This window comes from Homo sapiens, chromosome 6 (genome assembly GCF_000001405.40).
Source record: "Homo sapiens chromosome 6, GRCh38.p14 Primary Assembly".
Lineage (NCBI taxonomy): Eukaryota > Metazoa > Chordata > Mammalia > Primates > Hominidae > Homo > Homo sapiens.
Window position 1 is genome coordinate 170,009,695 of NC_000006.12, and position 26,935 is coordinate 170,036,629.

The 26,935-nt window shown below is 50.3% G+C and overlaps 1 long non-coding RNA gene across 1 annotated transcript, besides 1 other annotated feature; it reads left to right on the top strand.

Moving 5' to 3' along the window:
* The first annotated feature begins 14,072 nt into the window (after positions 1–14,072).
* LOC105378150 (uncharacterized) lies at positions 14,073–25,702 on the top strand. Its single transcript, XR_943318.4, has 3 exons — positions 14,073–15,998; positions 17,883–17,954; positions 19,041–25,702. It is a non-coding gene; the product is annotated as an uncharacterized LOC105378150 (long non-coding RNA).
* Positions 19,618–20,123: an enhancer, noted in NCBI's record as "H3K27ac-H3K4me1 hESC enhancer chr6:170344536-170345041 (GRCh37/hg19 assembly coordinates)". NCBI's record gives its function as "activates a minimal SCP1, AML or CMV promoter by ChIP-STARR-seq in naive H9 embryonic stem cells {active_cell/tissue: H9 hESC(naive)}" and the evidence as "EXISTENCE:reporter gene assay evidence [ECO:0000049][PMID:30033119]".
* Positions 25,703–26,935: the final 1,233 nt, after the last annotated feature.

Consider the following 26,935-nt stretch of genomic DNA (forward strand, 5'->3'; position numbering starts at 1 on the left):
CCTGGGAGGCGGAGCTTGCAGTAAACCGAGATCTCGCCACTGCACTCCAGCCTGGGCGACAGAGTGACACTCCGTCTCAAGAAAAAAAAGAAGAAAAAAATTTCTTTAAAATTGGGGTTAATGTGCCACTTTCTCTTAGGTAAAGATGTAGCTATTTTGGAGAAATTTGAATGAATGCTCAGAACAGGTGAATCAGAGTGCAGCATCTTAAGGCTTACCTTCAGTTGCAATACAAGGCACCGACTTTTAAAATTTTTGATAGTTTAAAAGTTATCTGTAATCAAAAATATTTTGGCACCAAGCATGTTCCTTTCTTGTAACCTGTATTCTATGTTCAAAAAATCGTTGAATTCACATCCCCCAGAATAGAAACTCCATGAGAAGAACATTGCGGTTCTTATTGAGAGATGTCTTCTAGGCTCCTAAAATAGTGTCTGATACATAAACATCACTCGAGGAATATTGTTGGATGCATAAACATACCGGGCCCATGGCACATGCATGCACACCACACACAATGTGTTGTCTGCTCCATTAATACTTCCATTACTGGTATGCTGGGATGGTGTAAAGAGTGAACACAACCTGCCCAACACACTTTGTATAGATTTTTCTGGAATATAAGTGGCTCTTTGACTAATTCTAAAGTTTATTCTAAAAGAAATGTAGCTATAAAGTTGCTTCTCATATATAATCAAGTGAAAAGACTAGAACACACAGTAGGATCTAAGGTATGGTCGTAAATTGCTTTAAAAACATATCGACACACACTCCTAGAAGAACGTTGGAAGAATATGCACCCAAGTGTTGGCAGTCAAGATTTTCCCCTCATTCTGTATTTTTGTATTTATATTTTCTCATTTTGAATCAATACGATGCACTGCCTTTGTATTAAGAAGCTAATGGGTACTTTTTTCCTGGGGAGTGTGTTTGGTTTTAGAGCAGGAGTCATCATCTGCCAGGCGTCCGACTCCCCTGCGCTGCCTGCTGATGCTTCCCATCACACCCAGGGCCTGAGGGAGGAAGTGGGCTCCTGCAGCATGGTCAGGGCAGTGAGATGAGGCAGAAGCGGCACTGAGGGGATTCCCTGAGGGACTTGGGGAGGGTCTCCATGCATCCCGCCAAAGGTTGGCGCCTCCTGGGGTCTCGTCTGACCTCCCAGCACCAGGGATGGGGTGCCCCTGCTGGGACCTTGGAGCCTGGGCTCCCTGACGGCTTGCTCTATGTAGCTCAAGGCTCCCCCATTCCATTACTTTGAAAGGGAAAGGAGAGGGAATAAGGACAGAGGGAAGGAGGAGGGAGGGAGGAGGCAGGCGGGAGCTGAAACAACCTCCGGCAGCACATCTGTGGGTGCCAGGCCTCCGAATGCAGCGCTGAGTAAGACGAACTCCCAGCCTTCATGGAGGAGCAGATACCAACTGGCAATTTGCATGATTGATTATTTAGCCACAACTGTGATGAGTGCAACTGAGGACAGGCACAGGGCCTAAGGCGGTGCCCGAGAAGATGCCAGGCCGGGGCTGGGACCGGGCTGAGATCCGAGATTGGGAGGTCCAAGTGTGTCCTGAGTTGCTTATCTCTGCCTGCAGGAGTGTCTGTGAGAAAGAAAAAGGAACTGCAGGTTCCCTCCGTGAACTCCCATAGCCCTGCCCAGTGAGGACAGCCAGGCCTGGCCAACAGCCGGGCCAGCGCGTCTGCCCCCTGGAGCTCTCTCTTCCCTTCAAGCGGGGGCTGGCGGTGGGGAGGTCACAGGCCGGAGCACGAAGTCCTGGCTGCACAAGAGGCTTCCCTGAGGGAGGAAGCTGCTCCCTTCCACAAAGGTCTCTCCAAAGGACCTTCCTAATTTGCTGCTGGCGGAGAGACAAACAACACAGTGGCCATGCCAACTGGGGAGAGAGGCCAAATGGAAAGAAACTACAGGCCACACTGCAAGGTGGTGGGGAAGAGGGCTTTGGCTTGCTTGTCCTTATATGTGGTGAAAACTAGAGCGGCAGCTTTCATCAGGCCAAAGCAGGATGAAAAGGTCAGAGGGAGCATGGCACAGGACAGCATCTGACTGCCAGCAGATGAGCAATGAAGCCAGGATGCAAGAGGATGTGTATGCAGCGGCATTTGGGATGCGGAGAGAAGACGCAAGCCTGGGAAGCGCAAAGGGTTCCGGCCTCATCCATCACATCACCAAGTTCCTATTTTACCCTTGATTCTAAGCAGCAGCTAAATGAGCAGATTAAATACTTAGAAATGCCGCATTGTGGAGTGTGGAGGCCCAACGGCCAGCGAGGAGGCTATAAACAGAGTCAGTGAGAGACGAGGAGAAAACAGTTCTCTAGGAGGCGTCCTTCTCTTCTGCTTTGATGGTTGTGATACAAGCAGGCAGGAAGGATCCATGAGTGAAAGGCATATGTGAAATACAATTTTCAGTTTCCTTCTTTCACAACTGGGTAAAAATAATCATTCACCAAGACAGAGAACAGACAGGAGGAGGAGTCTACATAGGAATATGGTCATTATTGAAAACCGAGGCAAGGGAGAGTCAGTCGAGCTCCAAAGCCCAGACACACATGGGAGCACTGCTAGGAAAAACAGCAAAGTTGTTGAAGACCTAGCATCTACCTTGGCCCCACAACAGACACAGGAACAGCTCTGCCTCCTCGAGTTCTTCAGACTCAGACTGCAGTGCTCTTTGGAAGGAACTTTAGGTAAATACAGAACCAACAAGTCCATCGTCTACGTGTGTAGCTGTGGCTATGGGGCAGAAGATGGTCACTGATGGTGAGAGAGGGAACGGGCTGGTGGCAGGAAGGATCACAAAATGAGGCCTAGACCAATGTCCACATCATGGGATGCTGAGGTGGCCTCTCAGGCAACATCAGATGCAAAACAGATACCAGAATATTCACCCAGGTTGGATTCCTTAGGCCCCTCGTTCTGAAAGCAAAAGTGCTCAGATTCAGTCATGAGAGGGAATGTGAGGACACACTTGTGAGGACCAGGCACCTCACATGTTCAGAAGGTCGGAAAATAGCCTCTGAAAGGTGAATCCTGTGCTTGGCTTGCTGAAGGGGTCCCTGGCAAAGCACAGCCCCAGCTGTGTCCTTGTTGTAACAAGCCAGTGCCTAGTGGGCTCTCTGAGCTTATGCGGTCTGCTAACAAATGATCTGGAAACTTTGTAAGTACAGTATTGATTATGACTAAAGATAAAGTAGATTTAATTTCACTGGCAATCTGAAAAGAGTATCTTTAAGAAAAGCTAAGTGACCTATGAATTAGAAGAGAATAAGAAAGAATAAGTAGATAATCCCAGATCAGCTTTCCTTGACCTTCATAACTGCAAAAGATTCCTTTTTTTTGCCTTGAGATATTCCACTTATATGAATAAAGTGAAATAGTATTGTTCCTTTAGAAAATAATTTTGACAGGTCTTACTAATTATTGAGATAATCACTTGTTTGCTGTCCAGAGAACAAAAGCCTGCATTTCAGAAAGGCCAATATTGTTTTTATTTGCCTTATACTTTCAGTGGGTAGGCTTAGGTTTATTTCAGACTTAGGTTTTCTTGCAATGCAGGTATTATGTAGGCTATATGCCTGCCCATGCAGTCATGTTGATTTAAGTGTATAAAATGCTTGGACACATGGAATCATGGATCCTAGAGAAGAAGCTATCTAAAGAGCTTATTGTGTCAGTCAGGATGGGCTAAGTTATGCTGTGCTAACAAACAATTCCAAGATCTTAAAGAACAAAAATAAATAGGCTTATTTTGTGCTTCTGCTGCACTTTCAATGCCAGTCAGTAACAGTTCTTCTGCATATTGTTCAGTAGTTCAGGCTGAGGAAGTTTTAACTGGAAAATTGCTGGTTGTTACAACAGAAGGAAAGTAAAAACATGGGAAACCATGTGTTCGCTCTCAAAGCTTCTACCCACATGTGTGACACATTCCTTTTGCTCACATTTTACTAGCCAAACTCAGTCATGAAGCCATGCATGCAGGGAACAAAGGTGGAAATGTGTAATGCGCCCATCAGGATGCACACCAAAGTCTTGGACACAACAGTGGTCTTGCACCCTGCTTTGAGACAAGGTCTACAAATGATCCTTGTATACCCTTCTTCCCAATGACTCTCATGTGAGCCTTTCCTAGATGCAGTCTTCAGCAAGAGGACTCTCAGCCTTCCACGTAATGGAAATACAATCAGCAGTTGAAAGCACAGAATTAACTCCACTGGTGTAAAAGCTAGTGCCTTGCTTCTGTCCCAGAGTCACCAGGATGTCCACCAGGGAAATGAGTCAAGTTGACTCTGCAGTGAAGAGGCTGCATCAGCATCAGCCCTGTGTCATCCACGATGATTACATTATCCATATCCCTGGTGATGGAGCTAAAATATCCAATGATCACACATAGGACACAATGACACACTGTAGATCATGACCTGCCTAGGCCACAATTTGCACTAGGGATCAATGACCTAGAACTACATCAGTGAAATCTGTTGAACAATGAGAGAAGAGATTCTCTTACTTCAGTAATTGAGAAGAAAAATGAATTCTCCTACCTCAGTAACTGTGGAAAAAGACTGATTTACCTCAGTACCTGTGAAGAAGAATAGATTTTCCTACTTTAGTAACTGTGGAGAAAAATGTATTCCTCTATCTCAGGGACTATGGAGAAGAACAGATTCTCCTACAGAGAAGAGTGGATTTTCCTACCAAGGTAACTGTGGATAAAGAGGGATTCTCCTACCTTGGTAACTGTAGAGAAGAAGACATTCTCTAACCTCAGGAACTGTGGAGAAAGATTCTTCTACCTCAATAACTGGAAAAAATGAATTTTCCTATTTCAGTGACTGTGGAGAAGGTAAAGAAACTCTTACTTCAGTAAATAGAGGGGAACAGATTCTTCTACTTCGATAACTGTGGATAAAGAGAGATTTTCCTCCTCAGTAACTGTGGAGAATAGATTCTCCAATGAGAGGAACTGTGGGAAAGAAAGGATTCTTCCACATCAATAGTTGTGGAGGAGAGATTCTCCTACATTATAACTGTGGATAAAAAATGAATTCTCATTCAGAAACTGTTGAGATGCATGTATTCTCCTACTTCAGTAACTGGAAAAGATTTGATTCACTTACCTCCTCAATTGTGAAAAAATGATAAATTCTACTGTCTTTGGAGGAAGAAAAGATCTCCTGCCTCAGTACCTGTGAAGAATATTGGATTCTTCTACCCCAGTAACTGTGGAGAATAACCAATTTCCCTATATCTGTAATTGTGGACATGTAGAGATTGCACTACCTACACGTGGAGAAGAATGGCTTCCCCTACCTCCATAACTAAGAAGAAGAATAGATTCTGCTACTTTTGTATCTGTGGAGGATGAAAGGTTTTTTTTACCTCAGTACCCATGGAGAAGAATGAATTCTCTTACCTCACTAATTGTAGAGAAAGAGAGACTTTCCTATCCTATCTCAGTAACAGTGGACAATAATGGATTTTTTTTAACCTCAACAACTATGGGAAGAAGAGATCTCCTTTAATAACTGTAGAAAAGAATGAATTCACCAACCTTAGTAACTGCAGAGAAGAGATTTTCCTACCTTAGTAACTATCATGAAGATTTTATTATTCTACCTCAGGAATTGTGGAGAAGGATACATTCTGATACTTCAGTAACTATAGAGAAGGAGAGGATCTTCTCCCTCAATAACTGTTAAGAATGGATCCTACCTTAGTAACTGTGAAGAAGAATGGACTCTCTTACCTCAGTAACTATGGAGAAGAATGATTCTTTTATCTCAGTAAATATAGGGAAGAACAAACTCCATAACTTCAGTAAAAAGAAGAGAGATTCTTCTATCTCAGTACAGGTGGAGAAGAATGGATTCTTCTAATTCAGAACTGTGAAGAAGAGATTATCCTCTTGTAGTAACTGTGGAGGAAAATGGATTCTCCTCCTTCGTGACTTTGCAGAAGGAGAGATTCTTTTATCACAGTAACTGTTGAGAAGAATGAATTCTCCCTCTTCAATACATGTGGAGAAGAATAAATTCTCCTACCTGAGTAACTGGAGAAGGAAGGACTTACTTTAAAACTCAGTAACTGGGAAGGAGAGAGCTCCTTCAGTAACTGTGTAGATGAATGAATTTTCCTAATTAGTAACTGTGTGAAAAAAGATATTCTCCTACCTCAGTAACTGTAGTGAATAATTTATTCCTCTATCTCAGTAACTGTGGAGAAGAATAGATTCTCCTGTCTTAATAACTCTGGAAACGGATGGATTCTCTTCCTTCAGTAATTGTGAAAATGAATTCTCCTACCTTGGTTATTGTGAAGAGGATAAAGGCTGCTACCTCAGTAACAATGAAAGAAGATAGATTCTCTTACCTCAGTAACTGTAGAGAAAAACGTAATCTCCAAGCTCATTAACTGTAGAAAAGGAAAGATTCTCCTCACTCAGTAACTGTGCAGAAAAATATTATCTTCCCTTAACTGTTGGGAAAAAAAGAGGATTCTCCTACCACAGCAAGGGAGCAGAAGAGATTTTCCTACCTCAGTAATTGCAGGGAAGAATTATCCTACCACAACATCTACAATGAAGAGTAAATTCTCCTACTCGAGTAACTGTGGAGAAGAATGGATTTTTTTAACTTCAGAAACTGAAGAATGAATTCCCCTAATCAGTAAATGCATGAAAGAGGAGATTCTCCTACCTCAATAACTGTGGTAGAGAATTTATTTTCCTATGTCAGTAACTATGGAGAAGAATGGCTTCTTTTACCTTCTTGGTAGATGTAGAGAAGCATAAATTCTCCTAGCTGAGTAACTGTGGAGACTGAGGAGGAAGAGACATTCCTCTACATTGGTACCCATAGACAATAATGGATTTTACCAACTCATAACTGTGCAAATGGACAGATTCTTCTATTTCAGCTACTGTGGAAAAAAAATACATTCTTCTTTAGTACATGTGGAGAGGAATGGGTTCTCCTATCTCAGCAACTATGAAGAAAAGATTCTTCTACCCAAGTAATTGTCAAAAATAATGGATTCTTCTTCCTCAGTAACTTTGGAGAAAGATCTATTCTCTAACCTAGTAACTGTGGAGAAGGGGAGATTCTCCTACCACGGCAACTGGAGAAAGAAAGGTTCTTTTGTCTCAGTAAATGTAAGGAGGAATGGATTCTTCTACCTCAGTAACTGTGGATAAAAAGAGATTCTCCTACCTCAGTAATTGTAGAGAAAAGCGATTCTCCTTCCTCAGTAACTGGGGAAGAAAAGCTTTTCTTCCTTAGTAACTGTGGAAAAGGAGAGAGTCTCCCGCCTCAGTATCTGTGGAGAATAGATTCTACTTTGTTAACTGTGGAGGACAGTGCTGCTACCTGAGTAACTGTGGAAGAGAGATTCTCCTACCTCAGTAACTGTGGAGGAGAGATTTTCCTACCACAGTAACTTTGGAGAAGGAGAAATTCTCCTTCTTTAGTAACTGGAGAAATAGAGCTCTTCTTCTCTCAGTAACAGTGGAGAAGAATGTATTCTACCTCATTAAGCTTAGAGAAGGAGACATTCCCCTTCCTCTCTGGTGAGAATAAATCTGGGCTCCTGGTCAGAGTAGTATCAGTGTAGTCATTGCCAAGGCTTCTTGTTTGTGTGCCTGTGAACTTGGGAATGTGCTGAAATGAGACATGGTGGGCTGGATTGAGAAAGATGGGCCAGGGGGGCTTTGGCTCTTGTGAAGCTTCTCCACCAGTGAAAGGCACAGCTTGGCATCTCCTTGTTCACAAAATGGTGTGGAAGATTATTAGAACTGAGAGCCCCAGTGAAAAGAGAAACTCTTCACATCCCCTGTAAAAGCTGTTGGTGAGAGGCCCCTGAGGGAAGTTGGGGGATACCAATGCCCTCTCTTCCCTACCAAGGGAGTGCACCTTCTGGACATCTGGAGAAGAATCACAATAATACTTTAAAAATCACAGGACCAAAATCGAAAATCAAACCCTGACAGAAAATATGACAAGGCAGAATTGTAGCTAATTGTGGATAAGATAGTCTGCGTTTGAATTATGGCTCTAGCACTTACCAACTGTGTGGCCTTGAGCAAGTTAGTCAACTTCTCTGCGGTTTCAGTTTTCTCATTTGTAAAATTGGGATGACAAAATGACTTGTGTGGTTAGCCTCCTGTGAGAAATAAATAAGATAATACCTGCGACGCACTCAGAACAATGCATGGCACAAAGCAAACGTGCAGTCGGCATTCGCTGCAAACAATTTCTTGTCCTGAAAAAAATGTTGATTAGACCATGGTGAGCCAAGAGGTGAAGGCCATTTTCCTTAAAAAGTCCCATTGGAGGCCTGACCTTGGTTTCTGCAAACTGAGCAGCTGAAAAAGCAGAACTGAAGGTTTGTTCTGCCATTGTTCTGTAACAAAGCTTATTGCTGAGAATGGAAGTTTAAGAGAACAACTTTGCCAAAAAGAAATTTCATCACTCCTTGAAATGGCAACCCTAATTCGGGGTTTTTAGGAAATTCCCTCAGAGACCCAGTGCTCTATTTTCCTCAGATTACCCCCATTTAGCTATTTGTGCTGTACACCATATAAATTGTCATCGCTAAGTCCAAGATATCGTGACTCATAGACTGCGTCTTTGTTTTCCTAAAGAATGAAGAGTCCAAGAGGAATAGAAAAGCATTTTTTCATCCACAATGTTTTTTTTTTTTTTTTTTTCATTTGAGATCCCCCATGTGGTGTTGGGTGCAGGTTATGGAAACAAAGGTGTAGGTCATTACCTCCAGGGTCTCATAGGCTGGTGGGAAGGCAGGCCAGGGAACCTGCCTGTAGCAATTGATCCCTGGTATATTCACAGGCTTTGGGCCCAATAGAAACGAAGGGTGGGAGCCCAGGGACTCAGAACCCGGAACAGGGGGGAGGCGAATCCGGAGGGTGAGAGAATGGAGGGCAGGGCTTCCAGGAGGGAACAGCCCAGGCCAGGCAAATGGTGAGAGGCCTCTCACATTTGGGAACTGTGAGAGATTCCATGTGGCTGAGAGGTGGCTTCGTGGGGAAGACGTGAGGGCGAGCGGAACAGTGTGGAGGCAGATCACAGAGGGCTCTGTGTAACTTACGCAAGACCTGAGCACCAGGCGGAGCCGTCAAGGGAAATTTAGGTTGAGCAGAGATACAATTGGGTTTGGAATATCTCTCTATAGCAGCAGTAAAATACCATGCAGGTGACAAGACTGGGAGCCGGGAGAGGAGGCAGGAGGGTGTGGGTGGTTCAGACCAGGGATGGACAGTGGGGCCGAGGGGAGGAGACATTGGAGTGGCACCATGTGGACAGGGGCAGGTCTTGGGAACACATAAAACTGAAAGGAGATGTGGAAACATCCAGGCCCACAATCTAGGGGTCCAGGGGCTGTGGCCACTGGAGTGCCATTCAAAGACTTCTCCCAAGCCCACCCCAGGTGAAGCCCCTCCCCTGCCTGTGCTGGCTTGGTCCTGGGAGCCAGGGCCCCTCCCTCATCGCAGCTGCTAAGCTGGACCATCCAAGAAGTAAAGCAGCACCCGCCTACCATGGCCCACGCCTGAGTTTCCCGGCCTGAGCCTTCATTCTCAAAGCTGTTTCTTGTTTTAAGGCCATTTCCTCATGGTCCTCCCCTGCCTGCGATGCTCAGCCCTGAATTCTTCACCAGACTCTTAACAGTGAGTGATTCGCTCCTCTGTAAACATCTCCTCTGTGAAAGGCCTTGCCCAATCTCCAAAACTAAATTAAGTCCTCCTGTTACAATACCCTATACTTCGCCTCACAACATTTATGGCAACGTGCAATTATATATTTCTGTGTGTGGCTGTTTGTTTTATATTTAGCTTCCTTCATAGACCATGATCTCCGTGGGGACAGGGCCCCTGTGCCCCCACGCCCAGGGCGGGCTCTACACCGACGCCTAGAAAACACACGTGCAAAGGCAAAGGCATGAAGTCAGCGAACAAGAGAAGGCTGGACTGGCTCCAGGTTTCCGGTGGTTGACAGTGCCCAGTGTCATTCACCAAATGTGGGATAGGCCGCGGGAAAACACACTGTGAGAAGGAGAGAGGAGCTGTGGATCTGCTTCAGAGCTGTCTGGGCCAGGCCCCTCATTCCAACTGATAGGGACTCGCCCGTCCAGATTCAATGTCTCCTGTGAGTCGCCAAGCGTACAGGGATCACAGGAGCCTTGGGCTCACGAAGTGTGTGGCCCCCCTGTGCAGATGAAGGACCAATGGCCAAGGGAGCAAGAGAACCCTGAGCCTTCTGTAAGGCAAACCCACTCAGCGCTGTTTCCCACTGGGTTCTCCTGTGGAGAAGCCCCTCAGACCAGGAATATGGTGCAAGAGCTTCGAATTCTTTCTCCTGGGCCAGCGGTCACCCAAACAGCTATCATTAGTCAGCAGAGACTTTTGGTCCACAGGAGGCGGATGACGCACTTGGTCCTAACAGGAAGTTTCCTGGATCCGTTTGGTTTGCTGCTGTTGGGAGACCAGGCAGCCGCCTTCTTATAGCTGTGTTGTTCTCACTCACGCGGTCTCCAGCAGCACCGCCATCCCACAGTTTCCTGACCCTAAAGTGTCTGAGGCCCCCACTGCCTCTGGCCAAAGCACATCACCTGCAGTTCACTCCCAACTGCCCCTCACCACTTATGGAGCTCCCGCCAAAGCAGCTTCCACGTGCTGAGGACGGCAACCTGCATAGTTCACTGAGGGGTGCTCAGTTGCCCTCCCAGGGTTGGGGCAGCTTGTTGAGTGCAGATAGTGAGACGGAGTAGGAGGCTGAGGGGCAGGAGGTTTGCCACCTGCAAATCACAGGTGGATTTCTGCCGTTAATGACAATGCTCTGTGCTGATGAAGGCCTAGTCTGTCACAGTTAGTAATTCTATAATAACACATTACATTTTCATAGCATTTGTACATTTTCCAAGTATTTTCATGTTCATTACTCTTTAATAATAGCTACAACTTTTTTTTGACCTGAAGTACACTCCTGTGCTGCCCACTGACATTTATTAACTCATCATATCCTACGCATTTATTCTTCACTCACAGGCGAGAAAGCTGAGGCCTGAAGATGTCACCTACACTGATGGAGGTCAGTTAATTCAGGTCTGTCCGACCCAGAACCCACACCCTAAATCACTGCAGGCCACTGCCTTCTCCCCAAAGTGCCCTGTAGGAAGATTAAATAAAAACTCGCCTTCTCCCAATTGAGCCAATGGTCCCAGCAACCATAGTGATGGCACTATCAGGCAGGGCAGGTCCCCCTCTTACCGATATGGGAGCTGAGACAAGGAGCCCCTCAGAGCCCAGTCTGAAGTTTCACAATGAAGACAGCTAAGTCACTCCCTTCCTCCCTGCCTCCCCCGTCCTTTCTTCCTACCTTTCCTCATCAACGAAGCATCCATTAGAAGCCTCCCCTATGGAAAACATTGCTCTGTGAGGATACTATGAAAGTCTCCTGGAAATCAGGAGTGGTCTGGGAATTTCCAGGGTTGTGTGTGCACACGCGCATGTGTGTTTCTGTTGATAGTACTATTAACAATACAGTAAAAAATAAAGCACTGAATCAGAATTTCTTAAAATTGTTATATATTTCAAACATTTGCACTCAGCATATTAATGTTTTTATATGTAATTCACACCATTTTATTGGCAGTGTGTCTGGAAATGGGACTAACATTTATAAGAGCATGTGCCTTTATAGAAATGCGGAAAAGAAAAATGCTGTCTCTCACTCGTGTCATTATGTGACAGTAGGTAAAACTGCATGTGGAGAATGAAGTACTGAAAATAAAAAATTAAGGCCCTTCATTAGTATTAGGCCCTGGGTCAGCTTGGGCGAGACAGTCTCCACCTCACAGATTGGCGTCTGCTGGGTTTAAACTCTTCCTCCCAAAGCACACAGCCTCTTGCCTGTTGCCACCCAGTTGAGTGTCAAGTGGAAGTTCGGAGCCATTGGCTCCATCCCGGCTGCCCACAGAGGGAAAAAGTGCTGCTAAAGGGGTCGTGTGTTTGGGGAGATGGACTGAAAGCACTCGTGGGTGTGGAGAGGACCGTGGGCTCTGTCCAAGCCCTGCTGCCTCTGGCCTGGACTGGGAGTGTGCTGCAAGGTCTGGGTGTCCAGGGCCATCGACTCTCTGGACAGCACCGTTCAGTGTGTGCTTCCCTCACATCTGCGGGGGCTACTCAGGAACAGGAAGCTGTCCCAGGCTCTCTGGACCTCATCTGCCAAATAACAGAACAGTAACATTGCACAGGTTTGTGGGAAGATTTGTGGAAATAATTACATGTCTCTAGTGAATCTGAACTAGAATTCGCAAAGGATATATGTGGGTTAGGAACCTGAGACTAGTTCTGCGTATCCTATAATGCAGCATCTGCATACCATAGTATTGGTGAGATCAACACACTTTGCGTGGAAATTGTGATCCCTCACTTCAGACATGCATGAAAGGCCCTAGATCATGCCCTGGTGATGCCTGCCATGGTTTCCAGCACGGGCCCTCAACCACACAAGCTCTAAGACTGCACCAGCAACGTTGACCAGAGCTTGTTCTTTCAACTATCTATATGGGCATCATCCTTACCTCCACCTCTCCACCGGCATGTCCACCTCTCCATCTACACGTCCACCTCTCCGTCCGCGCGTGTGTCACCTCTCCATCCACACATCCATCTTTCCACATGTCCAGGAAACTGTTGCCCTGGGGGCCAGAAAAGTGTAGTTTGTAGCCCTCCACACTAGACGCACACTTTTGCTGTCTCCACCTTGCTAGTGTGGTGGGCCACGGTGACCCACTCTGGTTGGTCGGTCAGCACACAGTGCGGCGACCGCAGCTCCGTGGTAGACGGTGCACTGGGACCCAGCAAGGCTGGCCGTCCCTCTGGCGGGGTGGTCAGAGCCGCTTCCTGGAAGGCGGATTTCAGCCGAAGTGCTAATGTCGCCAGGACTTCCTGGCCGCGGACCTGCAGAAGGAGCTCCCAGAACAGTGCAGGCCACGGGGCTTTAATGCTGCTCCTCCTTCTGCGTCCCATTTTACAAAATAACATTAATAGTAGGTTGATCACAGTTAATTGTTGTTTTGTAGATTGAAAGCATTTGGAGATTGACAATTTAATAAAGTTTATATTGTTCCAGCTAAGCATAAAAACTTAAAAATTTATAAAGCGCCTTCTAAAACAGTCACTTTGCTTCAAACATTTCAATCCTCAAACCCGCCACGTGACTAAGTTAGGGCCGGTATCCTTCTCCCGGCCTCAGGTGAGGAAACTGCCTGCGCCAGGTTCTCTGGGCCGCGCGGAGCCGGGGCTGACACAGCTGCGGGGCTGGGGTTTCCGATCCCAGCGCAGAGCGTCTCCCGCTGCTCCTGCGGGCGTGAGGCTCCCGGGATGCCCCTCCCTGAAGTGGGTCGGGACCCGCATCGGGATCCGGGCAGCCAGGCCTCGCAAAAGGCCCTGGGCCCGGGTCTGCTGCTCCGGCCTGACCCCTCAGAACCGCCCGAGGCTAGCGCGCCGGGAACCCCGGCCTCAGCCCCTCGCTCCCGCCGCCCTCTGTCTGGAGCTGCCGGGCCGCTCCGCCCCGCACGTGGATCCCGGCGGCCGCCCTAGGTGGGGCCTCTTGGCCGGGCCGTCTCCAGCGCCCGCCCTCCCGTGCGTCCCAGCTCGGTGGTGAGCGGCGTTTCCCGCCTTTGTCTTCCACCCCCTCCCAGCTCTGCCGTGGGAGGTGGCGCCCTTCTCCGGCTCTCCTCAGGCCGCGTTCGCGCCTCACGGGAGGTCTCGCCAGCCGGGCAATGCTCGGCGCCGCTTCCCGCGCGGGCTGAGGAGAGATGGCGCAGAGGCGCTGGGAACCCACGGGCTTCTGAGGAGCGCAGCGGGCACGACGACGGAGCGGAGTCCTGAGGCCACAGCTGAGGAAAGGGTCAAGCTCAGGCTCCCAGGCGGTGGCCGAGGGGACCCCGGGTGGGGCGGAGGCGCATCCTGGGAGGCGCTCGGGGAGGGTGCTATGGAGGCCGCCCGAGGCCGCCCCAGGCCGCAGGAAACAGGCGGGCGCGTCCTTCCCGCCTCAGCTACAGGCCTGTGGGGCCGCCTTCCGGGCGCCGCAGCCGCCTGGGCTGTGTGGTTCCATCTTGCAGATGGGATCAGATGGCCCTGGAGGTGGGGTCCCCCGGGTGTGCGCCCCAGACGTGCAAGCGCCTCCCCACGCCCCATCAATAAGGGTCACAGCCCCCTCCCCAGACCTGGCGGGGCCTCCCAGCCCTTCACGCAGCGCTGACGGGGCCTCTGCCCACCGGCCACCCTGGTCTCAAGACGGAGCCCACGTCTCCTGCTTGGGCTGGATGAGTGACCCTTCCCTGCGGCCATGAACAGGGAGCTTTAAACGTGTTGAGGTTGGACCCTGCCCAGCCCGGCTGAACCCCACTCTGTAGGAGGCGCAGGCATCAGACGCCGGGGACGTCATGGTGGAGGAGACTACCCGTGAGCCCGGTGACGTCACGGTGGAGACCACCCGCGAGGCTGGTGACGTCACAGTGCAGGAGACCACCGCGAACCTGGTGACGTCACGGTGGGGGAGACCACCCCGAGCCCTGTGACGTCACGGTGGAGGAGACCACCCTGAGCCTGGTGACGTCACGGGTGGAGGAGACCGCCCCGAGCCCTGTGACTTCACGGTGGAGGAGACCACCCTGAGCCCGGTGACGTCACGGGTGGAGGAGACCGCCCCGAGCCCTGTGACTTCACGGTGGAGGAGTCCACCCCGAGCCTGGTGACATCATGGTGGAGGAGACCGCCCCTGAGCCCGGGTGCCCCTGATCCCAGGCACTGGATGGGATCCCCGGGGGCCATGTTTTAAAATCAGTTTATTTGCTCTCTCATCTATAAATTATTTTTTAATTGCAATAAGACCGCCTACTCAAAAAGAGTTCTGGAGACAGATGATGGTGGTGTCTGCATGTAGGAATGTATTTAATGCCACTGAACTGAACACTTAAAAATGGTTAAGACGGCACACTTTTTGTTACCTGTATTTACCACAATAAAAAATTGGGAGAAAAAGTAAACACTGACCTTTCAAACACACTAGCTGGTCCTGAGGATGTGCGTTTTGTGTTAGTGAGGCATAAAGGAACCTCAGAGCGTTGGCCAAAAGATGTGGCCATTAATAAACTATGATTTGGGGTAAATGTCTGAGCCTCATTTTTTCAACTGTATAAGGGAGATTAAAAATAACATAGTCCTCTGTGATGTGGGGGCAAATAACAAATGTTTGCTTTGGTAACTGCAAATTGTGAATAAATGTCACTGTATAGTTAAAAAACAACAGCAGCTCATCTGGTCAGCACAGCACCACCAGCCTCCCTCATGGCAGAAACCCAACATCTGGTCAGCATAGCACCGCTAGCCTCCTTCATGGCAGAAACCCAACTCTGGTGTAGCGTCAGCACTGAACAACAGATGGAACATTAGCCCAGGACACATAGCGGATCCTGAAGACAGGCATTTGCTCGTGGGTTGAATTTGGAGAAGCACAACACATTCAGAGGGTAACTGTTCCTGATCTTCAAGGTCGTCCATTAATAAGTGTTCAAAGTTGGTTTGTTCTCCAGTTTTCGACGTATCTGTGTGTACAGTGAAGTGTCAAGAACTCCAGCCTCCACCGATTCGAGACCACTTGTCCTCTGTACAAATACTTAGCCTGGCAGCAGAGCGAAGAAGAGACTGCAGGGCATGTTTGTTCTCTGCAGATGCTGGCACCACCCACGAAAGGCAAACAACTGTGTCTGTGGAGCTGGATCCCCTCTGGTCACAGGGAACAGCCAGACTTCCTGGGACAGGGGTCAGAAGGCGGGAGACAGGCAGGGGCAGCCAGTGAGGAAGGAACCAGGACGAGGTCCCAGTAGACGCCCGGGAGGAGACAGCCCAAGCGGAGGAGAGGCCTGGAAGCAGGCGGGCGCCCTGAGCCTTCATGTCCCCTTTGCTGGTAAGCAGCATCTGCCTACGACCTCCTAACCTCGCATTCAAGAGTCCACTGAGCACGGGCATGGGGAGGGAGCATGTGGACGGCCTCTAACCTGTGCGCCAGCCGACGGTGCCACCAAACGGGAGGCGTGGGCTGTGGGTCTCCCCTTCTCACTGGGCATGGGTGTGGGGAGGGAGCATGTTGATGTTGATGGGCCTCTAACCCACATGCCAGCAAATGACGATGATGCCACCGTGGGCTGTGGGTCTTCCCTTTTGAACCTGCATATGCAGCGGCACCTGCTTCAGGGCATCTACAAGCCGCCCCTGGCCCCAGCACCACGACACCTCTGCCCCTAAGGAGCTGCGAGTCCCTGGCCCCCAGGCTTGCCTGGGCCACAGGTTTCTCATGGGAATGGGGATCTTCATAGCACCTCACAGGCCTGCTGTCCTAGGGGCCACTGAGACCATCGCTGCAAGGCTGCGAGGTGCACCACCCGGCTCAGTTCTGCTGTGTGGTGGTGATAAGATGACATCTGGGGTTTTGTTTTTGCTTCTCTGACTTCCCATCCTTTCAGGCTGGAGGCCCCTGACCCTGCTGGCGTGGCCAGGGGGTTGGGGAGGGAGTGCAGGGAGCTAACCCAGCTGACCAGCTCAGACTGGGAAGCCTCAGGTGGGTAGGGCAGGCCCGGGGCTGGGGAGGCTCCGCCTTTGACCAGGAGGCCTGTGGCAGAGATGCCTCAGGGGTAGGGTTTCCTGGCTGTTTATTTCTAGGATAGGACCGATGCCAGTGTCCCTTTTAGAAAAGCTGGAAGAAGCATTCCTGGGTGAAAGTCTGGACAACAGTACCTGCCTGGGCGGCCCGGGCTCTGCCCCCGCTTCAGCACCCGGGGGGCCCTGAGTGCCTGGCTGCTGAGTCACCTCTGTAGAGCCAAATTCCACAGACGCGCACCTGGCGCCAAACACCTGGCTCCTGGACCTGCCTGTTCAGGCGCTGTGCCCAGGTTTCTACGTGCCTGGAGGGCGGGAGGCCTGCTGGGCGTGCATGCGATCTCATCAGCACACTTAATATACATGTACCCACACCCTGCAGGCGCGTGGACAGGCGGGTCATGGCCTGGTAGCAAGAGCACACCTGGAGATTCTGTGGTGCCTTAACTTTCCAAAGCACTCTCATGTGACTGTCCCACGATCACGTCTTCCATCCCTGCCCTCTCAGCCAGGCTCCAGGCCGGGCTCTTCGCCTGCATTGGTGGTGGCCCCTCTGCAAACTCAGTGCTAGACAAGACAGACTATTGTATTTTGTCCTTGGAGGAACGGAGGCTCAGAGAGTGTGAGCTACACACCCAGGCCACACAGCTGGGGTGTGTCACACAGGCATGAGTGTTCTGACCCTGGGACCAGCCACACCCTCCACCACTCTGGGCACTTCAGGCGAGCTCCTTAATCCCAGCCAGGCCTCTATACAAAGGTCTTAACTGTCTAGGCAAATATTTTAAGAAATGGGTGGATATATCTGCTTTAGGAAGCCCGTCCATGAATATCCATGCCTGTCCTAGCATGTAAATTGAAGGACGTCTTTCCATTGAAGAAAGGCTTTTCTTTGAAGAAGCCTTGCTATAAAGTAGAGGTGAACTTCTCGGCCATGTGCAGGAAGGATGGCTTACATCAAAGTACATTTCACAGTTTAACCAAGAACTCTCATGTCTGTTAGCACTTGAACTTAATTTAAGATTCGATGTTGCCTTTCCTAGGAAAGATTGTACAAGTGGGTAGCTTACATTCTGCTTACATTCCAAGCACATTACTGTTCATTATTCAGCCATAAGTGCCATTATTATAGGCCCTTGATGGAGTTACATAAGTGAAATGGGCTGAATTTCACTAAATTTCTATTTTGTACCAGGGGTTTGCCTCAATCAATACTTTTTGGACAAGACCTGGATTGAGACAGAAAGTTGATATTATACAAACTAAGGTAAGTTTGTGTTATATTTCCTTTTCAATTGGGACATTAGTTATTGGTTGTCACATGTACTCACACATAAATAAAATGTGGACTTATTAGGCCAGGAGGAAGGACAGATACGGGGGAGGAGAAGCTGTAACCAGAAGGCAGTAGAAAGCCCAGACCTCCCCCAGGGCCCTTGCTGCACTCAGTCCCTGTTGAGTCAGAGACAGGGAGAAGCCATGGTGTAGGGGAGTTGGTGAGGGGAGCAGCCTTGGCGAGCGGGAGGTGGGGAGACGGAGATGGAGATGGAGACAGAGAGATACAGACAGAGACAGAGAGACAGAGATGGACAGAGACACAGATGGGGACAGAGACACAGAGATGGAGAGACAGAGATGGAGAGAGACAGAGATGAAGAGATACAGAGATGGACAGAGACAGAGATGGAGAGAGACAGAGACAGAGAGAGATGGAGAGAGAGACAGACATGGAGACAGACAGAGAGAGACGGAGAGAGACAGAGATGAAGAGAGACAAAGATGGAGAGAGGCAGAGACAGACAGAGACAGAGATGAAGAGAGACAGATGGAGTGAGACAGAGAGAGATGGAGAGAGACAGAGATGAGGCGGACAGAGAGACATGAAGAGAGATAGAGATGGAGAGAGACAGAGATGGAGAGAGACAGAGATGAAGAGATACAGAGAGAGATGGAGAGAGACAGAGATGGAGAGAGACAGAGAGAGACAAAGACAGGGATGGAGAGAGATAGAGATGGGGATAGACAGAGATGAAGAGATACAGAGACAGAGATGAAGAGAGACAGAGTGAGACAGAGATGGAGAGAGAGAGATAGATGAAGAGATACAGAGACGGACAGAAACAGAGATGGAGAGAAACAGAGATGAAGACAGACAGAGATGGAGAGATACAGAGAGGTGGAGATGGAGAGAGATAGACAGGGAGAGATGAAACAGAGAGACAGGAATGGAGAGATACAGGGAGAAATGGAGACAGAGAGAGGTGGGGACAGAGCGAGCCAGCTTGTGCCACTCCAGGGCCGGGTTCTGCGTACACATGGGCACGGCATCCTGGGCCGTGCATTGCTTTCCCAGAGCGCGTGGCTGTCTGTGGGGACAGGACCAGGAAGAAGCCGCCTGGTTGCTCTCAGGCCACCTCGGAGAAGGTGGGAGGTGACTTCAAGACAGAGAGGACACCAGAGAGGCTGCTCCCAGCCAGCAGAGCCGAGCACAGGTGTGGAGCCTCGAAGTGGCCTTGACTCCAAGGGGACTTTGGAGCAAGCCCAGCAGCGGAGCCAGGCAATGGGTGGGGTTTGTCCGCCAGAGAAGGGCAGAGCAGAGGCCCAGCCAGAACTTTCAACCTGAAACCCAGGATCCCTCAGACCCTCTGATCGGCAGAAGCTCCTTTAACTGGGAATTTGTTTATATTTCAAGTGAACTGTTGCTAAACGCTGTGTTTTAGGCTAGATGAATCAAGGCCTGGCACACCTGACGATGTCAAAGGGGGCCTGGGAGCTGGAGACTTCCGTGTCCATGGGCAAAAGCAGGGTGGTGCTCAGGTGCTGGGAGGAGGTCCTGGGCCTCTGTGTCCTTGCAGCAGGAGGCTGGATGTAGAAGAGAAGGCAGCCGCCTGGGCGTTCAGTGCCGCCCGACAGACGGCCCCACCTCTGCCACAGCCCTTCCCGCCTGGTCCATGCCCTGCACCAACCCCAAAGTGACCTCTGTAAAACTCAGGGCCATTTTCCTGACGGAAATTCCACAATGACCTTCAATCTTAGTCGTACAATGGAATCTCTTGTAGATATATATATTTTTAAATGCTCACACCTGGGCATCACCAGAAATTTAGGCCTCATTGGTCTGGGCTGGAGTCCGGGCACTGTTAAAAGCCCCAGGTGATCCTGACACAGCCGGGTGGGGTTGGCACAGGTGGAATCCCTCCTTCATGATGTCCCGGCAGCTGCTTGAACCACCCCAAGCATCATCTCGCAAACAGCAGCGATGATAATGAAATGCCCACCTGCACCTGAGGTCCTGCAGTCCTGCAGCCGCCAAGCTGGTCCACACCTGCAACCGAGGTCCTGCAGCCACCAAGCTGGTCCACACCTGCACCTGAGGTCCTGCAGCCGCCAAGCTGGTCCACACTTGCACCCGAGGTCCTGCAGTCCTGCAGCCCTGCAGCCACCAAGCTAGTCCACGCCTGCACCCGAGGTCCTGCAGCCGCCAAGCTGGTCCACGCCTGCACCCGAGGTCCTGCAGCCGCCAAGCTGATCCACGCCTGCACCCAAGGTCCTGCAGCCACCAAGCTGGTCCACACCTGCACCTGAGGTCCTGCAGTCCTGCAGCCACCAAGCTGGTCCACACCTGCACCCGAGGTCATGCAGCCACCAAGCTGGTCCACGCCTGCACCTGAGGTCCTGCAGCCCTGTGGCCACCAAGCTGGTCCACGCCTGCACCCGAGGTCCTGCAGTCCTGTGGCTGCCAAGCTTGTCCATGCCCTGTAACCTGCTTGAAAGGCACTTTAAGACCTGCACCCGAGGTCCTGCAGTCCTGTGGTCCTGTGGCCACCAAGCTGGCCCATGCCCCTGTCACTTGCTTGAAAAACGCTTCAACACCTGGCTTCCACATCCCTTCCTGGAGCTTCCCAGAGCCTCCAGTGAGTCTGCAGCTCCCAGCTCTGCACTGCCTGAAATCACAGGGAGACGTACGTGTCAAGGTGCGAGTGCCATGCCTGTCCTCTCAGGAACAGCATTCTGAGCTCCTCACTGTGGAAGCTGCTCTGGTCTCTGCTTCCACGTGGGCACAGGCCATCATGCAGCAAGGTGTGAGCGAGGACCCCACTCTCAAAATGCAACACGCTTGACTGTCCAATACACACAAGGACTCATGTGCACACACAAGTGTCTACACATGTCCACACAGTACATATGCCCACACACACGGTACAGTCATACACGTGCACACAAGTGCAATGCACACATCCATGTGTCTGCACATGTTCACATGTGAAGACGTGTTTGCATGTGTATTCACATGTGTGGACACCTGTGCACACCCCCGCACCACCACTGTCACCACTGTGTCTCTGGTGGTAGTGAGAGGGTAAGGGTAAGAATTTCTGGATCCCACATACGATATCCTAAAGCAAAATGCCCTCACGCCTCCTCCCTGAGAGAAGACGCAGCAGCCACAGGAAGTGAGCTTCTTGGACAAGGAACATCAGGCGTCCAGTGCCCCACCGGCTTCCTGGTGCCTAGTCCCCTAAAGAGGTGAGAGGTGCTGATAAAATGAGCTGCTGTGCTGATGCCTGGGGTGACTGGGGTGGAGGGATGTGGGGGCGGCAGCCCTGTTGTCCTGGAGCTGCTCCTTCTCCCCACTGCATCACTCCTGGGCCTCTCCTGGAGGCCTGAGCCATCCTCCCCAGGGCAGCCCCAGGCTGTGCTGCCTGAGCAAACCCAGAGCCCAGCCCTCCCTCCCCCTGCAGCCTGAGGGCAGGGACCATGGCAAGCCCTTCTCCTACAGCCCCAGTGCCTCAGCAGCCTCATTTTCGGGGACGTGCCAGCTCATTTTCTGGTCTGTTTTGTGGTGTGGCAACAGCCTCGAATCACAGCAGCCTGAACAGCCCAGTAAATATTTACACAAACCTGGGGCTGGCAGGCCCTCTCCTTTGTGGGGCTGCCCTGCTGAAAGGGAGGGGAGCCAGGCCGGCTCAGTCCCAGCTCGGCGCAGATGGTGCCTGCAGCACGCAGTTCTTGCGGGGACGCAGCCGGGATGCAGACGTGGGCTTTTGAAGCCCCCGGCAAAAGCTGGTGGCCGCTCCTGGCTGGGGTTCTGTGGTCTTGTGTCTGGAAATGTGGCCTGGGAACATCCCTGAGGTCTCCCCAGAACAGCAAGGATTGTCTTCTTTCTTATGCTCTTCATCAATGCACAGGCAGCCCTCTGAAGTCCTCAGAATGCTCCAGATCTGGACAGTCACCTCCCAGCTGGGCTCTGGTGCTCTGGAAATCAGAAACAGGTTTCTTATGTGGTTCATTTTTCTCCATTTCCAGGCATTTTTATTGTTATTCTTATTAACAAATGACATCATCACTGCCAGTCATAGTAAGTGTATAAAAGTGCATTTATGGGGCATATCCATTGAGGCGTTCCCAGGACAGAGACGGGCCAGGGAGGCCAGAGTTCTCCGCCTTCAGCAAAGGCAGCCATGAGTCAGTCATAAGTTAGGGTGACAGGCGCCTGGCGTCACAGGAGACCTCAGGCCACGGTCACAGGGAGAACTGGGCATCATCACCGGGCGCCTGGCCTGTGTGCCCCCATCCAACCAGCCCGAGCTATGAGCTCCTCATAACCAGCAGCCCGAAACCAGAGAGGACTAACATCTACACCTCCTCTACACCCAACAGGGACAGCTCACAGCGCCCAGGGCTCAATGGAGACCAGATGTTTGGGAGAGGTGGGAGAGGACATGGGGTGAGGCCTGCTGCTTCTCCAGTGAATAAGGTGGCTGGAATTAGGATTAAATTTGTAAGGGAATGTTTGGGCCAGAGGACCCACCATTTCTGCGGTCTGTATCTCCCCCAACACCCCAAATGTCCAACAAGGACACAGAGCCCAGGAAAAAGCCGGGCTCAGGGAGGAGACTCGGAGGGCAGGTCACATACCTGCTGGTGGAAAGCCAGGCAGGAACCCTGTGTGGCCATGACATCAGCACGGAAAGGCCCCTGGACCTCAGCCTGTCCCCACTGCATGGCAGGCAAGAAGCAGCAGCCCAGAGGTGGCCCCACGTTAGGGCCAGAGTCCCAGTGTGGCTCCCATCTCCTGGGGCAGCTCATGGCACTAGCCAGAAAAGCCCAGTCGGGGGATCCAGGGGCTCATGAGACATGAGACATTTGCTTCTTCCCTTGGACACTCCCTTCTAGGAACAGGGTGAGCTGGAGAGAGGCAACAGAGCAGGAGCAGGGAGCACTGAGGGTGGCTCCGCCTGAGGGTACAGCACACGTCCAGGGCTGTCTGCACACTATTTCTCCCTCTCTTCTCACTCCCAATTTAGAACAAGTGCCCAGGGGAAGAAAGAAGAAAAGAGATGCTGCTCCTGCTGCCTGTGCCTCCTCCTTCCAGAGTGCTCTGCAGGGCAGGCTGCAGGCAGGGCCTTGTCACCCTGGCACCCTCCAGTTCTCCATCTCTACCACTCCATCTGGACCCGTGCGCCAGCTGGTATCCAGGACCCCAACCTTTCCCTCTCCGTAAACGGGTCCGTGCAAATTCATGGCCCCAGCCCATAAAGAACAGGGTGTTTCCGTCTCTTAGGCCTCAAATGTTTTAAATGCACAGAAAGAGATAGTGAGTGTTCAGGGTGTCTCTGCTGCATGCATTCAGCAGGAGCTACCATGGCCGACCTGGGCACCACACTTCAGATATGTGGCTCTGCACAGTACAAGAGATTGGGCCAGTCATCATGTCCTACAAACACACAGCACGGAGGCATTACCTACACCACAAACCCACAGGTGCTCAGGGACAAATGTTTAAGCTACTGAGGCTGCACCAAGCTCAAACACAGATGGCATCTTTCAGATCACCAGAGGCAGTGTCCACCAGACATGCAATTCCTCTGCAGGAGTCAGACCCCAGGTCACCCAGCTTGCTGGGAGGGTTCCTCCGGGGCAGAGGGAGACATGCCCAAGTCAGACTGGGGAACACCAGCAGTTGACTTCCGTAGCGTTTGCCACCAGTACCATCTTCCTCTGTAACTGTATCTTCCCAACTTCTTGTGAATATCTCCACCAGATGTTCCATCAGCACTTAAAACTCACATTTCAACACTTGATCTGAATTCCTCCAAATCCCACTTCTTCCCCTGGGCACCTTGATTCGGTGCTGGCACCACCATCCACCAGGCAGCCAGAACCAAACTTTGGGCTTCTTCTCACTCTCATGCTCCCATGCAAACCACTGTGAAGTCAGGTCATTGCTCTCTCTGAACTGTCTCCTAAAATCACCCCTTTTCCCAATTTCTACCCCTAACTCTCAAGGGAACCCCTCATCCCCATCCATTTTGGCCAGTCTGCCTGGCACACCCTCACCCACGATCCTTCCTGCAGCACAGAGCTTTCATACCCTACTCAAGTATCCAGCACAGGGAAGTTCTTTCCTCCTGGGTGTGGAGCCCATCAGCACCCGGGTGAGTGTCGAGCCCACCTCCATGGCACCCTTCTCTCTTGAGTCCCAGACAAACCAAGTGCTCCCAGCTGCCACCTGGCCCTGCTTTTCTGCCCTGCCCTTTGCTCAAGCCATTTGCACTCAAAGTGACCTGTCCTTCAGGCCCAGCCTGCATCAGACACACTCTTTCCCAGACCCAGCCCGCAACAGACACACTCTTTCCAAATCTACAGCAGAGGAGGCCTGGAAGTTGGGTCTGGCTGCTCCATCCAGGGGTCTTTGCCAAGCAGATGCTTGACCCTCCTGGGGGGCCCCACTGGCCCCTCCTCCTCTAGTCTACCTAGTGCACCTGTGGTCTCAGAGTCCTCCACACCCAAATCACCTCCAAGAATCAAAACTGAAATTGGGGAAGAAACAGTTCGCATGCTTCTGAGGGAAAGAACCTATCCCTCTAGTTCCCAAATGTGTAGTCAACCCTGCCCGAGGGCTCCTGGAGAGAAGGGGAGGGAAGGGACGTCTGGACACAGGTCTCTTGTTGCACCCGAAGGCCCTGAGTCCAAATACAGTCTCACTGGGAGCTGGGACTTCAGCGCAGGACTGGGGGGCGCCATTCAGTCCACGAGATCTGCAGCATGTAGGGAGGGTGAGGTCGGGGAGCAGGCAGAGGCTTGTGCCCAGGCTGCAAAGTTTCTCAGCCTGTTGGGCAGGGATACAGCTTTAAACAAAGAAGTCCAGTCAAGAGCCCTGGCTGCTGGCACAGATCACCACACTGGAGATGTGACACGCCACCTCGCCATGGCGTCTGCCACTGAGAACGTCCCAAGCCAGGCCCTAACCCGCCTGCCTGGGTTTTTCACCCCGGGCTCTCTTCAGGGCCATAACCTCTTGGGATGGATAATGAATGTTCATTGATTTTTATTAGTATGTGAAAACAAACACATCTTAAGTAATAAATAATGTATTTAAAGTTATCTATGGTTGAAGTATGTATTACAAGGTCCATTTACATATGATCTTTAAAAATATTCCTATAATTTCCTCATTTGGCAAGTGTTATATGCACTTTACTCCACTTTCAAAGTAAATGTAAGAAAAACCCATGGCTCATCAATACTTTTGAAGCAAACGACTATTTTCTATTTTATTTAAGGACTGAGTGTATGTTAGAAAATCAAATTACTTGCATGTACTATGTCTCCAAATGACTTTTATGATCCAAAGTTTAGAATATTTTTATTCAGATGTTTAAATATCTGCTTCTCTAGAGATCATATTTTGTTCCCAAACGGTGCAAGGGACTTTGAGACATGTCTGAAACTCTTTCCAAACAGCACATTGATGGTGTGACAGCTCATATTCACAGTCAGCAAAAAGCAAAATGGCTATGACTACCATTCTATTTCCCCTTTTGTCCATTGGATGTGAGGGACATCTTGACATGTTATGGAGGCATCTTGCTAAATGACTGACGTGTTATGTAGGCATCTTATTAAATGATTGACATGTTGTGCAGGCATCTTGCTAAGTGATTGACATGTTATGTAGGCATCTTGTTAAATGGATGCAACTTAGAGACATCCTGAGATTTATTTGCAGAACTGCTGCAATTCTTTTTAGTACTTGCCGGCTTTCCTTAGCTTCCTCATAGCCACTGTCAATTTACATGGAATAATATATGACTATGAGGAATAAAAATACAATTCTAAGGCCCGCAACCAACTGAAATGACCTCCCCTTGGCCAAAGGGACCTCTGAGAAACCTTGAAAACTGAGTTCCCAGCCATGACAGAGGGGAGGTCAGACTTGCTTCGTGATCCCCCTCCCTCACTAAGCACCATTAGGCTTTCTTCCCTGAGGGCTACACAGTATACAGCCCCTTCAAACGAGACCATGCTGATTTCCACCAACTTGATGTCACCCCTCTCTTTTATGGTTTGGGCACAAACACTGACCAGCACTCCTTCCTGATGGGAGAGCACTGACTTCAGACTGTAGCTCTGCCAGGCCCTCACAGGAAGCACAGTGAGGGTTTTTGCATCCCCTGCTTCACATTTCCCCTCCACGCTGCCCTAGGAGAGGTTCTCCACGAGGGCTCTGCCCCTACAGCAGGCTGCTGCCTGGACATCCAGGAGCTTCCATACATCCTCTGAAATCTAGGCAGGAGCTCCCAAGCCTCAACTCTTGCCCTCTGCACACCCACAGGCTTAACACCACGTGGAAGCTGCCAAGGCTTACAGCTTGCGCCTTCTGGAGCAGCTGCCTGAGATGTATCTGGGGCCTTTTTAGCCATGGCTGGAGCTGGAGCAGCTGGGACACAAGGAGCAGTGTCCCAAGTCTGCGCAGGGTGGTGGGGTCCTGGGCCTGGCCCGCAAAATCATTCTTCCCTCCTAGGCCTCTGAGTCTGTGATGAGAGGAGCTGCACTGAAGTTCTCTGAAATGCCTTTGAGGCATATTCTCCATTGTCTTGGCTATCAACATTTGGCTCTTGTTTACTTATGCAAATTTCTGCAAGCCAGCTTGAATTCCTTCCCAGAAAATGGGTTTTTCTTTTCTACCACATGGCAGGGCTGCAAATTTTCCAAAATTTTATGCTTTGCTTTCCCTTTAAATTTAAGTTCCAATTTCAGATCGTTTCTTTGTTTATGCAAATGAGCATAGGCTTTTAGAAGCAGCCAGGCCAAATCTTGAACACTTTGCTGTTTAGAAATTTCATCTGCCAGACACCCTAAATCATCTCTCTCAAGTTTAAAGTTCCACAGATCCCTAGAGCAGGCACACAATGCCTCCAGCCTCTTTGCTAAAGCATAGCAAGAGTGACCTTTACTCCAGTT